Raw genomic sequence first — 13,374 nt, 5'->3', positions numbered from 1 at the left:
AGCTATCTATGACAAACCCGCAGCCAATATCATACTGAATGGGCAAAAACTGGAAGCATTCCCTTTGAAAACTGGCACAAGACAGGGATGCCCTCTCTCACCACTCCCATTCAACATAGTGTTGGAAGTTCTGGCCAGGGCAATCAGGCAGGAGAAGGAAATCAAGGGTATTCAATTAGGAAAAGAGGAAGTCAAATTGTCCCTGTTTGCAGACGACATGATTGTTTATCTAGAAAACCCCATCGTCTCAGCCCAAAATCTTCTTAAGCTGATAAGCAACTTCAGCAAAGTCTCAGGATACAAAATCAATGTACAAAAATCACAAGCATTCTTATACACCAACAACAGACAAACAGAGAGCCAAATCATGAGTGAACTCCCATTCACAATTGCTTCAAAGAGAATAAAATACCTAGGAATCCAACTTACAAGGGATGTGAAGGACCTCTTCAAGGAGAACTACAAACCACTGCTCAAGGAAATAAAAGAGGATACAAACAAATGGAAGAACATTCCATGCTCATGGGTAGGAAGAATCAATATCGTGAAAATGGCCATACTGCCCAAGGTAATTTACAGATTCAATGCCATCCCCATCAAGCTACCAATGACTTTCTTCACAGAATTGGAAAAAACTAAAGTTCATATGGAACCAAAAAAGAGCCCGCATCGCCAAGTCAATCCTAAGCCAAAAGAACAAAGCTGGAGGCATCACACTACCTGACTTCAAACTATACTACAAGGCTACAGTAACCAAAACAGCATGGTACTGTTACCAAAACAGAGATATAGATCAATGGAACAGAATAGAGCCCTCAGAAATAATGCCGCATACCTACAACTATCTGATCTTTGACAAACCTGAGAAAAACAAGCAATGGGGAAAGGATTCCCTATTTAATAAATGGTGCTGGGAAAACTGGCTAGCCATATGTAGAAAGCTGAAACTGGATCCCTTCCTTACACCTTATACAAAAATCAATTCAAGATGGATTAAAGATTTAAACGTTAGACCTAAAACCATAAAAACCCTAGAAGAAAACCTAGGCATTACCATTCAGGACATAGGCGTGGGCAAGGACTTCATGTCCAAAACACCAAAAGCAATGGCAACAAAAGACAAAATTGACAAATGGGATCTAATTAAACTAAAGAGCTTCTGCACAGCAAAAGAAACTACCATCAGAGTGAACAGGCAACCTACAACATGGGAGAAAATTTTCGCAACCTACTCATCTGACAAAGGGCTAATATCCAGAATCTACAATGAACTCAAACAAATTTACAAGAAAAAAACAAACAACCCCATCAAAAAGTGGGCGAAGGACATGAACAGACACTTCTCAAAAGAAGACATTTATGCAGCCAAAAAACACATTAAAAAATGCTCATCATCACTGGCCATCAGAGAAATGCAAATCAAAACCACCATGAGATATCATCTCACACCAGTTAGAATGGCAATCATTAAAAAGTCAGGAAACAACAGGTGCTGGAGAGGATGTGGAGAAATAGGAACACTTTTACACTGTTGGTGGGACTGTAAACTAGTTCAACCATTGTGGAAGTCAGTGTGGCGATTCCTCAGGGATCTAGAACTAGAAATACCATTTGACCCAGACATCCCATTACTGGGTATATGCCCAAAGGACTATAAATCATGCTGCTATAAAGAGACATGCACACGTATGTTTATTGTGGCATTATTCACAATAGCAAAGACTTGGAACCAACCCAAATGTCCAACAATGATAGACTGGATTAAGAAAATGTGGCACATATACACCATGGAATAGTATGCAGCCATAAAAAATGATGAGTTCATGTCCTTTGTAGGGACATGGATGAAATTGGAAACCATCATTCTCAGTAATCTATCGCAAGAACAAAAAACCAAACACCGCATATTCTCACTCATAGGTGGGAATTGAACAATGAGATCACATGGACACAGGAAGGGGAATATCACACTCTGGGGACTGTGGTGGGGTGGGGGGAGGGGGGAGGGATAGCATTGGGAGATATACCTAATGCTAGATGACGAGTTAGTGGGTGCAGCGCACCAGCACGGCACATGTATACATATGTAACTAACCTGCACAATGTGCACATGTACCCTAAAACTTAAAGTATAATAAAATAAATAAATAAATAAATAAATAAATAAAATAAAAATCGGCCAAATATCTTAATAGACACCTCACCAGAGAAGATATTTGAATGGTAAATAAGCATATAAAAAGATATTCCACAGCATATGTCATCATAAAAATGCAAATTAAAACAACCATGGGGTACTACTCTATACCTATTGGAGTTGTCAAAATCCAAAACACTCACAACATCAAATGCTAACAAAGATGTGGAGCACCAGGAACTCTTGTGTATTGCTGGCTGGAAGGCAAAATGGTACAATCAATTTGGAAAAGTTTGGCAGCTCCTTACAAAACTAAATATACTCTTACCTACAATCCAGCAATCACATTTCTTGGTATTTACCCAAAGGAGTTGAGAACTTATGTCCACACAAAAACCTGCACATGGATGTTTTTATCAGCTTTATTCATAATTGCCAAAACTTTAAAGCAACTAAGGCAAGCTTCAGTAAGTGAATGGATTAATAAACTGCACATATCCAGACAATGGAATATTATTCAGTCATAAAAAGAAATGCGCTATGAAGCCATGAAGAGGTATAGAGGAAACTTAAATACATATTATTAAGTGAAAGAAGCCAATCTGTAAAGACTACTTCTGTATGACTTCAACTATGTGACATTCTGGAAAAGGTAAAACCACAGAATGAGTAAAAGTGTCAGTGGTTGCCCGGGATTAGCAGGAAGTGAGGGAGAGATGAGTAGCCAGACCATGGAGGATTTGTAGGGCAGTGAAACTACTCTGTATGATACTATAATGATGGATACATTTCATTATTAGTTTGTCTAAACACATAAAATATACAATACCAAGAGTCAACCCTAATGCAAACTATGGACTCCAGGTGATAATAATGTGTCAGTGTCAGTTCATCATTTGTAACAAATGCACCACTCTGGTGGGGGATGTTGATAATAAGGCAAGCTATGGATGTGTGGAGATGAAGGTATAAGGGAATCTTTGTACTTCTTATTCAATTTTGCTATCAACGTAAAATTGCTCTGAAAAATAAACTCTATTTAAAAAATATGAAAGTGATCAACGTAGGAAGTTTGCAGTAGTTCATGTGAGAGGCAGTGGTAACTAAGGGGCTGGAAGTAAGAAAGAAGACAAATGGATAACTTGGCCTTTTAGTGCAGTGCTTCTCATACTTTAATGTGCAAATGAGTGACCTAAAAATTTTGTCAAAATGTAGATTCTGATTTACTAAGTCTGCAGTGGGCTCTCAGACCCTATTATTCTAATGAGCCTCTAATGAGCAAGGGCAACTACTGTTCCTCAAACCACACTTCAGATAGCAAGGTTTTCAAAACTATAAAACTGCAAGAAGATAACATTGGATAAAATCTAGATGATCTAGGGTTTGGCAATAACATTTGAGATACAACACCAGATTCACGGTCCATGAAAGAAAGAATTGAGAAGCTACACTTAATTAAAATTTAAAATTTTTAGTGGAATCTTGGTGATACAGCATAAGTGGGGAACAGTAAGGTTTCTGTGGGAATTTTGACTTTAAAGGGTTGCCAATATTTCTTTTTTTTTTTTTTTTTTTTTTGATGGAGTCTCACTCTGTTGCCCAGGCTGGAGTGCAGTGGCACAATCTCAACTCACCACAGCCTCCACCTCCCAGGTTCAAGTGTTTCTCCTGCCTCAGCCTCCCGAGTAGCTGGGACTATAGGCACATGCCACCATGCCTAGCTAATTTTTGTATTTTTAGTAGAGTCGAGGTTTCACTCTGTTGGCCAGGCTGGTCTCAAACTCCTCACCTCGTGATCCACCCTCCTCAGCCTCCCAAAGTGCTGGAATTACAGACATAAGCCACCAAGCCTGGCTGGGTCTCCGATATTTCTAATAGGAGATGCCAACTAGGGGATATAGAGCTGGATAAACAGAGTTTATACAGAAAAAGTTCTGGGCTGGAGATACAAACTTGTGAATCAACTGCATACAGGTGAAACTAAAGATTTAGATGTGTATGCAATAACAAATGAAAAATACAGAGTAGGCAGTGAAGAGAGCCTAAGCCAGCCATAAGGAGAAACTACACATGAAGAAAAAAAAAAAGGGGTGGGAAAGCAAAAGAAAACTAGAAGCCTTGTGTTGTGGACACCAAGAAGATATTTCAATAATGACAGAGAGATCAAGAATTGAATGTTGCTGGCAGATTAAATAGGATTAAAATCAAGTTATTTTGATTATTTGCTTTCATCTCAGCTGCTTACTGGGACTAGAGTTAAGTGCCACCCTTTTCACTCAGCATCCCTTTGTCCTCTTTCCCAAGACTGGACCCCATTAGCATGTACTTCCCCCACTCCCACAGCCTCAGATGGATTAATTGTGTTAGTCCATTTTCACACTGCTATAACTTCCCCTAGACTGGGTAATTTGTAAAGGAAAGAGTTTAATTGACTCACAGTTCTGCATGGCTTGGGGGGCTTCAGAAAACTTACAATCAAGGCAGAAGGGAAAGCAGGCACTTTCTCCACGAGGCGGCAGCAGAAAGAGATGGCAAGAGAGGGTACTCGAAGAAGGAACTGTCAAACACTCATAAAACCATCAGATCTTGTGAGAACTCACTCACCATCATGAAAACAGCACGGGGGAAACGCCTCCATGATCCAATCACCTTTCACCAGGTCCCTCCCTCGACATGTAGGGATTATGGGGATTACAATTCGAGATGCGATTTGGGTGGGGACACAGAGCCAAACCATATCACTAACTTAGTGATCTTGAAATTCAACTGTTAAAATTAAAGAATTACATAAAGGAAGGAACCTGGGATTCTATTACTGCTTAGATTAAGGCCAGTCAGAAATATCTGTTTTAGACTTTGTCAAGAATTAATAAATTTGTAACATATATGAGTAATTATATATTTTAGTGTTTGTCTTTTATGGCAGCTAGCAATACTTTAATCAATGGAAGAATGTATGTATTCTCAATTATCAGTTTATAACTCAAAATGTATTTTTTTTCCAATACTAGAGGCACAAAACATTGTCAAGTTTATGTGTGTGTGACAGCCTGATTGGGAACTTGGTTTATGTTTTTGAGTCCTCAGTAAAGTATTAGCTTAGAAGTTATATATTCTGAGTTTTAAACAACTAATTTAGAATGAACTTTCAGAACCATACCCATTTCTAAGTGGAGAGCTGCCTACATGGCAAAGGATTTGTTGCTGAATGGTCAATTTGAAATGCTTGTCATAACTACTAAACTATCCAGACATGGTCAATTTATTTCAGTCAACGTAATGTCTGATTAGTATTGAAGAAATTGAATCAATAGATCTTACACATTGACCTCCAAATGGTCACTCTGGACAGTTGTGGAAACTCAACCAATTCAGTTGCCTCAAAAAATAATATTGGCAAACAAATTATTTTATCAGTCATTTTTGTTTTTAGTGGAGAATTGCATGGTTTCAGTTTAGAATGGGATATGGTCCACTAACCTATGGTGACCAAGATGTAAAATTTGTGAGGTGTTATATCACAAAGCTGATAGGATATAGGAGTTGAAGTAAAGGCACTTTTTAAAACTGAAATAAAATTTATATCAAGTACTATGTATTTGAAACAATGATAGTAGTGACGTACTGGGTGATTATAGCAATGTCACAAGGAATGGGAGGCAGAATTGGAAATACTGTGTTACAAGGTATCACACAACATATACAGTAGCTTAATGTTATTTTAAGGTGAACTTAGATTATCACAAATACATTTTATAAACTCTAGGGCAACCACAAATGTTTTAAAGATGTATAATTTGTATGCTAGAGAGGAGATAAAATAGAATTATATCAAATATTCAGTTAAAACCACAATAGGCAGAAAAAAAGAAACAACAAATGCAATGCATAGGAAACAGTTACAAACATGATATGTATTAATCCAAGTATATTAATAATCATTTTAAATGTTAATGGTTTAAAAACACCAATAAGAAGACAGAGATTGCCAAAGTGGATTTAAAAAGAAGACCTGCTATATGCTGTTAGTAAGAAACTGACTTTAAATATAAAGATTCAGGTAGGTTAAAAATGAGATGGAGCAACCCAAGTGCCCATCAATTGATGAATGGATGGATAAACAAAATGTATATATATATATATATATATATATATATATATATATATATATATATATATACACACGCACACACACACACATACTGTGGAATATCATTAAGCCTTAAGGAAGAAGAAAATTTAGACACATGCTACAACATGGATTAACCTTGACATTATGCCAAGTAAAACAATTCAGTCACAAAAGGATAAATATTGTACAAACTTATTTACACAAAGTACCTAGAATAGTCTAATTCATAGACAGAAAGTAGAATAGTGGTATACCAGGCGTGGGAAAGTGAAGAATGAAAAGTTTATATTTAATGGCTACAAGGTTTCAGTTGGGAAATAATAAAAAGTTTCGGAAACAGATGGTAGTGATGGTTGCACAACAATGTAAATGTACTTACTGCCACAGAACTGTACACTTAAATTAGTAATATATATATATATATATTCATCCACATAAAAAGTAAAAAGCTGAAGTAGCTATATTAATTTCAGACAAAGCTGACTTCAGACAAGGAAGATTATCAGCAATCGAGAGGTGCATTACATAATGATAAAGAGGCTGATTATCCAAGAAAACATATAATTCTAAACATGTACTTACTACAAAGTGTCAAAATACATGAGGCAAAATTTGACAGAACTGAAAGGAAAAATAGAAAAATCCACCATAATAGTTTGAGATTTCAACACTTTTGTTAATAAATCAAGAAAGCAGAAAAGCAGTAAGGATATAGATGACCTGAATTACTGTCAATTAATTTGATTTAATTGACATTTATAGAATTTTTTTTCAACAACAGCAGAATACATATTCTCAAGCTCACATGGAGTATTTAGTAAGATATACCTCATTTTGGATCATAAAACAAACTTTAACAACTTTTAAAGAATAGAACTTACATGAAACATGTTCCTAGAACAGGAATTAAATCAGAAATCAGTAACAAAAAGTTAACTGGAAAGTATTTGGAAATAAAATGACACAATTATAAATAACCCATATGTCAAAGAAGTCTCAAGAGAAAGTTAAAACATTTTGAATGAAATTAAAATAAATACACAACTTATCAAAATTTGTAGAATGAGGCAAAAACAGTGGTTAGAGGAAAATTCATAGCTTTAAATATCTGTATTGGGAAAGAAGAGAGATGTTTGTTTCTTTTTTAAGATGGCTGACTAGAGGCCTTTCCAGCATGCCTCATCGGCTTAAAAAAAACGAAATAATTTCACTTTTTGAAAGTTTATCCAAGAAGGAACACAAGAGTTAAACAGAAAAGCAAAAGGAAACACTAGAATTTAGGGAGGAATAAAAGAACAGGCAGCCCATGTGGCCAGGACCAGCTGAAAACAGGGTGTGAATCCTCAAAATGGGAGCAGGTGAGTGTGTCTCTATGGTTCACTTTCCTACAGGGGAGTTGTGCAATCCAGGCCATAGGAGCGCACCTTGACCCTCCCTAGCCCTGGATATAACTTGGGAAGTAGCCAGGAGACTGTGAGAAGAAACTACTCTGGGAAGTGTTTCATGCATTCCCCCAGACCTGAGCACCTACAGGAGAATACTATATTTTATCCTAGCTTTTAGCAAGCTGTGCAGGGTCCTGGGAACTAGTAGCAGTGACAATTTTTGGCACTAGAGACACTTGGGCTTGGGCATGGAGAACTGAGGGTCTAGCAGGGGAGGGGCTTTCACAGCCAGAACTGAAATTTGAGGGCAGTGTGGGCTCCAGCTGCTGGTGCTGGAACTAGGCTCTCCAATATCCCTGGGCCTGGAGCAGAAAGAGTGGCCAGGGAGTCATGCTATTGACACTGGTGGTGACACCTAAGATCTGGGACTGCATTGCAGACTAGAAACTGATGTAACTAACTGAATATCCTTACTACCTGCCACAGCTGAAATAGAGAAGGGAGCCCCATTAGGTCTGGGGCATGAGAGGAAAGTAGATTTCACTCCCACTGGCAAAGGCTGTGGTACTAGGACCACTCCTTGCCGAGACCCTGGTGCAGCAGCAGTTGCCTCTCACCTAGGCATTTTGCCACAGACCTGAGGAGTGCCTCACTGCACCTGTCAGGGCTAGTGCTTGTACCTGCCATTGAGAGACCTGAGTGCAGGCTTCTCTGGTCCAGTTCTGTCTAGCTTTGTACCACCTCCAAACAGAGGATGGGACCCAGGGTCCTGGATGATCCATGGCCCGACTCACCACCTGAGACAACCAAGTAGTTTTTTTTTTTTTTTTTTTTTTTGGCTAATAGGGGTTGGGTACAAACCCTACTGCTACCACTGCAGCTGGTTCTTACTTGCAAGCATCACCTACTGGAAGTATGCCCACACAGTCCATTACAACTGCTGACACAACAGCATGGTGCTCAGGAATGAGAAAATCTCACAACCACTGCTAACCTCACTGCTTACACTACAGCAGCTGCTCAGACAGCCATAAGCCTGTCTCCCCCAACAAAAGTAAATTCAAAAATAAGAAGTTATTGCTACTGCAGATGTGCTGAAATGAATAAATATACAGGAAGCATGAAAAAGCAAGGTATTATGACACCCTCGCAGGATCACAATAATTCTCAGCCATAGATTCTAACCAAAAAGAAAAAAAAATTCTTGGAATGCCAGATAAAGAATTTAAAATAATGATTTTAAAGCTCAATGAGATGCAAAAGACATATGAAAATTAATACAGAGAAATTAGAAAATCAATTCAGGATATAAATGGGAAATTTATCAAAGATATAAATATCTTAAGAAAAACCAAACAGAAATTCTGGAATTGAAAAATTTATTGAAGGAATTATAAAATGCATTAGAAACATTTAAAAACAGACTAGACCAGGCAGAAGAAAGACTCTCACAACTTGAAGATAGGTCTTTTGAAATAATGCAGTCAGACAAAAATTAAAAAATAAAAGAATTAAAAATAAGCAAAGCCTTTGAGACATATGGGAATACATATATCCATGAGACTTACAAATTACCAATATTCCCAAGAGGGAAGAAAAATTGAAAAGCCCTGAATTTTATATATATTTATTTATATATATATATTTATATATTTATTTATATTATTATATTGAGGGTCTATTTTTTTAATGGTAAAAATTTCCCAAGTCTAACAAGAGACTTAGACATCCAGGTATGGCCCAAGGATCTCCAGAAAAATTCATTGCAAAAAGAAATTCACCACAACATAGTGTAATCAGACTACCTAAAGTCAACATGAAGAGAATTTTAAAATTGGCATGACAAAGGCATCTCGTCATCTATAAAGGAAACTCCATCAGACTAACAGCAGACTTCTCAGCAGAAAACTTACGAGTTAAAATTAAATGAGATAGCATTTTCAAAGTGCTAAAAGTAAAACAACCTCCAGTCAAAATTTTATATCCAGCTACATTAAGATTAACAGATGAAGAGGAAAGAAAGTATTTCCCAGATAAGCAAACACTAAGGGAGTTGTCACCACTAGACAGGCTGTACAAAAATGTTCCAAAGAGTCCTAAGTATGGAAATGAAAAGTCAATATTTACCATTGTAAAAATACATGAAAGTATAAAACTCACAGGTCTTATAAAACAATCACACAATGGAAGAAAATAAGGGAATCGAGTGACAACATGACAGAATTCCACCAAACCACAAAGACAGTTTGAGAAAAAGAAAGAAACAAAGAATTGAAAAACAACTAGGTAACAATTAACGATATGACAGAAATCTCACCTATCAATATTAATCTGGAATATAAATAAATTAAATGCTCCATATGAAAGACTTAGATTTGTGGGATGAATTTAAAAACCATGATTCAACTATATGCTAACAAGAGATTCACCTTACCAGTAAAGATACATTTAACTGGAAATAAAGGGCTGGAAAAAGATATTCAACACAAACAGAAACCAAAGTCAAGCAGGAGTAGTTATACTTGTATCAGATAAATCAATAACAAAACAAAGCAAAACAACAAAAAAAGACAAAGTAGAAAAGTATATAATGGTAAAGGTATATACACCCAATAATGGAGCAACTAAATTAATAAAACAAATATTAATAAACCTAAAGAAAGAGACAGACAACAATATAATAATATTCAAGACTTTTAACACCCCACTAAAAGCACTACACAGATCAGCAAGACAGAAAATCAATAAAGGAACACTTAACATAAGTTGAACTTTAGACCCAATGGGCCCAACAGACATTTTTAGAACTTTCTACCCCAAAACTGTATAATACATTCTTCTCATCAGCATATGGGACATTCTCCAAGATAGATCATATGTTAAGGCACAAAACAAGTCAATAAATTTTAAAAAGTTGAAATCATATCAAATATCTGCCCAGATAACTACAGAATAAAACAATAAATTAATATCAAGAGGAACTTCAGAAACTATATTCATGCATGGGAATTAAACAACATGCTTCTGAATCATCTTTGGGTCAATGAAGAAATTAAGACGCAAATTTAAAAATTTTTTGAGTCAGGCATGGTGGCTCATGCCTGTAATCCCAGCACTTTGGGAGGCAGAGGTGGGCGGATCACCTGAGGTCGGGAGTTTGAGACCAGCCTGATCAACATGGAGAAACCTTGTCTCTACTAAAAATACAAAATTAGCTGGGCATGGTGGTACATGCCTGTAATCCCAGCTACTAGGGAGGCTGAGGCAGGAGAATCACTTGAACCTGGGAGGCGGAGGTTGCGGTGAGCCTAGATCATGCCATTGCACTCCAGCCTGGGCAACAAGAGTGAAACTCCATCTCAAAAAAAAATTTTTTTTGAAATGAGTGAAAAAGGAAATGTAATGTGGAAAGAAACCTCTAGGGTACAGCAAAAGCAGTGCTAAGAAGGAATTTTGTAGCATTAAATGTCTACATCAAAAAAGTAGAAAGATCAGAAATAAACGACCTAATGCTGCACCTCCAGGAACTAGGAAAACAAGAATAAACCTCACACAAAGTTAGCAGAAGAAAAGAAGTATCAACAATCACAGAAAAATATGAGAGACAAAAAAAAAAAAAAAATGAAATGAAACGCTTGTTATTTGAAAAGATAAACAAAATTGCACTGGGTGCGGTGGCTCAAGCCTGTAATCCTAGCACTTCGGGAGGCCAGACAGGCGAATTGCCTGAGCTCAGGAGTTAGAGACCAGCCTGGGCAACATGGTGAAACCCCATCTCTACCAAATACGAAAAGTTAGCCGGGCATGGCAGCATGCACCTGTAGTCCCAGCTACTCGGGAGGCTGAGGCAGAATTGCTTGAACCTGAGAGGTGGAGGTTGCAGTGAGCCGAGATCATGACACTGCACTCCAGCCTGGGCAACAGAGCGAGACTCTGTCTCAAAAACAAACAAACAAACAAAAAGATTAACAAAATTTATGAACCACTAGCTAAACTAACCAGGAAAAGAAGAGAGAATATCCAAAATTATAAATGGAAACGAAGAGATTACAACTGATGTCACAGAAATACAAAAGATCATTGGAGACTATTATCAACAACTATACACTCAAAAACTAGAAAACCTAGAATAAATGAATAAATTTCTGATTACATACATGATATTCTGAAAAACATAAAACTAGGGACATGATAAACAGATCAGTATTTTCAAAGAGTTGAAGATAGAGAGGTTGAATATGTGAAGCACAGGGGATACTTAGAACAGTGAAACTTCTCTGTATGATGCTGCAGTAATAGATACATGACACTAAGCATTTGTCAAAACTCATACAATTTCATACCATGAACAGTGAACTTTAAGGTATGCAATAATTTTCTTACAAAGTTAGGGGATCCCAAAATGGGATGCTGAATGTGGCAATTTGACTGTATTGCAAATGTATGAAACAACCTCACAAAATACAATGGAAGAAAAAGGTGCTGACCTAGATGATTTTGAAAATGAGGCTTTTATAAGACTAAAGGAAAGGAATTTTACAAAAGCACTGTACTGTAGTTTATAAGCTCCCCATGGAGGTAAAGAATAAAATTCTGAAACCAGTATACGTGTGTACTAGAATTAAACAATTAAGTAAATAGATGGTGGATGGTGACTGACAGATTTCTCATTGCTAGACTGGGGGGTTACAGATAAGCAATAGGAGAAGGCTAGAATGATCCATGTAGTAACAAATTAGAGTTGGAGGAATCAGTATGAATTCAGGCTTATCTTAATGTAGGTACAGATAGTTACTTAGAGAAACATTTACAGTATGTGTATATACATTGGTTAGTGTGCACATTGATATTTCCTTGACTGTTTGCTAAAATAGCCTAGAAACAACACCACAGTATCAACAAGTACACCTGGAGCCCAGATCTTGGTTTCTAATACTATCCTCTGATGAAAGAAATGAGGGCTTTTATTGAATATAAAGAAATTATTGGACAAATAAATAAATAAGGCAAAATAGACAAATTTCCCATGAGAAAGAATTCCAAATAATTTATATAGCTACTCCACCTTTAAAGAGGTGAAGCATAACTCTCTGTTTCCTAGGTTTGTGCTGCACATAGTGATTTCCTTACAAAGGGTACAGTATGGAAAGAGAAAAATGAGAGTCACGTCATAGTGGAGAAACCTCACAAACTATTCCATTTCGGTGATCAACATCATCAGTGATAACCATAAATAACAAAGACAGACAAACAGTGATAAGTCCTATTGATATTATGTACCCTCGATATGATGTGATGAATGGCATTTTATTGCTGTGATTCTCTTCTCAAAAACCCATAATCATGAGAGAATCTAATCATGAGAGAACTATCAGAAAAATGTCAATGAAAGAATATTCTACAATATACCTGATCAGCACTCCTCTAAACTGTCAAGGCTATCAAAAATAAGCAAAGTTTGAGAAATGATTATGGCCAAGAGGAGCCTAAGGAGACTTTACTAAATGTAATTCTATAGCCTGGATGGGACAGTGAACCAGAAAAAGGACATTAGATAACAACTAAGACACTTTAGATAAACTATGAACTTTAGTTAATAATAATGTTCCAATACTGGCTCATTAGTTGTTACAAATGCACCATACTAAAGTAAAATGCTAATAATAGTGGGGAACCTGGATGTATGGTATATGGAAACTCTCTGTACTCTCTGTATTTTT

This window comes from Homo sapiens, chromosome 1 (genome assembly GCF_000001405.40).
Source record: "Homo sapiens chromosome 1, GRCh38.p14 Primary Assembly".
In the NCBI taxonomy this organism is placed as follows: Eukaryota; Metazoa; Chordata; class Mammalia; order Primates; family Hominidae; genus Homo; species Homo sapiens.
This window is presented reverse-complemented; position numbering follows the sequence as displayed.